Raw genomic sequence first — 2,712 nt, 5'->3', positions numbered from 1 at the left:
TGTCCTTCAAGATGAGGTACAGGGTTACTGTCTGCTCCCACCCAATACAGCATGATAAATAATGTTCACCTCAGCAAAGAACTTGAAGCTGAGAGTCGAGTCTCTCTTAGCACTGGACAAAAGAGCCCCACCTTTGGGTTTTAGGCCATGCCCGGGGCATTATTTTGCATCATCCAAGCAGGAGGACACAGCTGCAGACCAGGCTCCTGCTGAGTGATTGTCAGTTAAACGCAGACCCTGAAGTAAAATAGAAAAAGGGGCTCCCTTACCCCCAGGGCTCTTTGGTCTTGTCCCCACAAGCTGTAGAGGACACTGTTGTACCCCTCTCAGGCCCCCAGCTGTTGTCTCTCCTGCCCACCCCTGTACCTGTGGCCCCTTTGGAGGCCCGTTCAAGGGCTACTAAAATCACTTTGCCCACAGGTCCAGGAGCCCAAAAGGCCTGACAGATTGTGTTTCCCTGGGGCTCAGAGCCAATAACTGGGTGCAGGACAATGATACCCAGTGCTAGCCTCAAGACTGAGGTGTAACTCATGCTTCAGGCTCCCCACAGGAGCAGGCTGAGGCCAAGAGCTTTCCTAAAATTGCACCCTGGTGTGGCTTCTTCCCTTTCCCTGCCCCCACTCCCACCTGTGTCCCAGGAGCATTTCCTTCACAAATCTCTTGCACAGGAATTCTTGTCTTGAAGGAACCTAACCTAAGACTCAAGTTTGCAAGAAAAGTGCTCACTAGCAGAAGGCATGTATTTCAACAGGCATCTATTCAGAAGACAGCCCCCCTTGGTTTCTCCCCAGAGCATTTGCTCAGGGAACTCTAAATAAGGGATTTCTTCTTTCAACACATATGCATGACAGGGACAGCAGCAACCTCTTAAAGAGGACAATGGTGGCACTAACCTGCAGGGAACCCACAGTTAAGCCCATTTGTTGATTCAGCCCTTGTGCGTTCATCGAGGGCATAGGGTAATTTATACTAGAAATGGTGCTCGGTGTAAGGATACAAACAGGGCTAAGACCCTCCCCAGGGTGCCACGAGTGCACAGTGGGAGAGACTAAAAAAACAACACAGAGAGACAGCACAGGCACAGAAAGCTCTGGAAGCAGGACCGTCCTGTTTTCTCCCATATCTGGCTCCTGGGCAGTAGACTGTGTGCTCCCTGCAGGCAGGGGCCATGTCTTGTGTGCCTTTGCATCCCCGGTGCCCAGCACACTGGAGACAGCCAACAGGTGTTGGCACAAAGGAGGGGTTCCCTATGTGGACAACTTGGGGCAGGGATGGGATGAGAGTGGTCAGGTAGGCTTCCTGGAGGAGCTGTTGCCTAAGGTGTGTTGGCTGTGGCTGGGTGAAGAAGAGTGAAGGAACAGTGTCCTAGTCACAGGGAACAGCATGTCACGGCCTGTCCTAGGAAGGCCCAGTCTGGCTTGAGCAATGCAGGTGGCATGGTACTCCTGTATTCGTACTAATAATATCCTACTACTGCCTTTCAGAAGGACACCCTCATACCTGTGAGACGGAGCAGCCGGGTGCAAGGCGGAAGGAGGAGCAAAGACCCCACCGAGTGTGGGGAGCCTTCAGGTTTGCGGCTGATGCTATGGATGGGCCGTTAGCAGGAGAGGAGCATGGCTAGCAAGAGTCCTGTGGCTGCGGACTGGCGTGGGGAGAAGTGGGGACCAGACACCACTCAGCAGGATTCCAGGTTTCCAGGCTGGGGAGCGGGGAACTGGACAGATGTGAAGATGTTTAAGAAATACCAGCCAGAAGAGATTGTGGCACTCTCACGATGGCTCTTCCGCCATCCAAACAGAGCTGTTCAGGATGAGAGAACCCTGGGGCACAGCTCCCCCTCTTCCTCCTGGGTGCAGCCCTGCTAGGGATGAGACCATCTGCAGCAGGAGGTGCACAGCCAGGCCCTGGGAGCTGAAGACAGCCCACATCTCTCTGGGGTGAACTGTCCTGGAGCTCCATGGGGCAGGAGGGGCACAGGGCGTTATAAGCCGAGGTTTCCTATTAGCTTGGCCAGGCTGATTTAGGGGGGAACAGATACAGAGAGGGGACAAAAACCCCCCACACTCTCCAGAGTCAGTACTTAAAACAAAACTGCCTCATTCTTAGAAAGCACGATGTCTCCAGTGCAGAGGTGGGGACCCTTAGGAAAGGGTGATGCTTGCATTTCCAGAGGTGTGCGTATGAGTTCCTTTGAAAAGGTGCCTTGTGTGTTGAGGACACGAAGACCCCCAGGGCAATGGGAACCAGGAGGCTGGGGGTCCAGTCCCAGCCTCGTCACCGACCCTCAGCGTGACCTTGGGCAAGTCATGTGATCTCCTGGGCTTTGGGCTGAGTGAGCCTTAAAGTCACTTCTGGCTGTAACACGCCAGGATCTAGTTTAAAACCCACAATTCTCAGGGAAGAAACAGGGCAGAGGGACCAGGGACAGTTCAGGGTCACAGCAGCTGCCTGACTGGAATATGGCAGAGCCACAGTGTACCACACGCCTTCCGGCAGGGAAAGTTGGTAGCTTGCCTGGAACTTTTGAGAGCACCGTCTCCCCGGACCATGAGGTACAGCCTCCTCCTCTGTAGGCCGCCACGTTAAACACAGCAACTTCCTGCAAAGGAGAACATCAGCAGAAAGACCTCAGGGCTTTTGTGGAAATCAAATAAGGTAATGCAGGTCAAGTAGTTTAAAACAAAGTGCCCCAGCAATGGCAGATGTCAC

General features: G+C 53.5%; 1 annotated feature.

Annotated features, from left to right (window-relative positions):
* Nucleotides 766-1,266: an enhancer, noted in NCBI's record as "H3K27ac hESC enhancer chr10:127233771-127234271 (GRCh37/hg19 assembly coordinates)". NCBI's record gives its function as "activates a minimal SCP1, AML or CMV promoter by ChIP-STARR-seq in primed H9 embryonic stem cells {active_cell/tissue: H9 hESC(primed)}" and the evidence as "EXISTENCE:reporter gene assay evidence [ECO:0000049][PMID:30033119]".

The sequence above is a fragment of the Homo sapiens genome, chromosome 10 (genome assembly GCF_000001405.40).
Source record: "Homo sapiens chromosome 10, GRCh38.p14 Primary Assembly".
Lineage (NCBI taxonomy): Eukaryota > Metazoa > Chordata > Mammalia > Primates > Hominidae > Homo > Homo sapiens.
The sequence above is the reverse complement of the archived record's forward strand: the minus strand, read 5'-3'. Positions and strand labels throughout refer to the sequence as shown.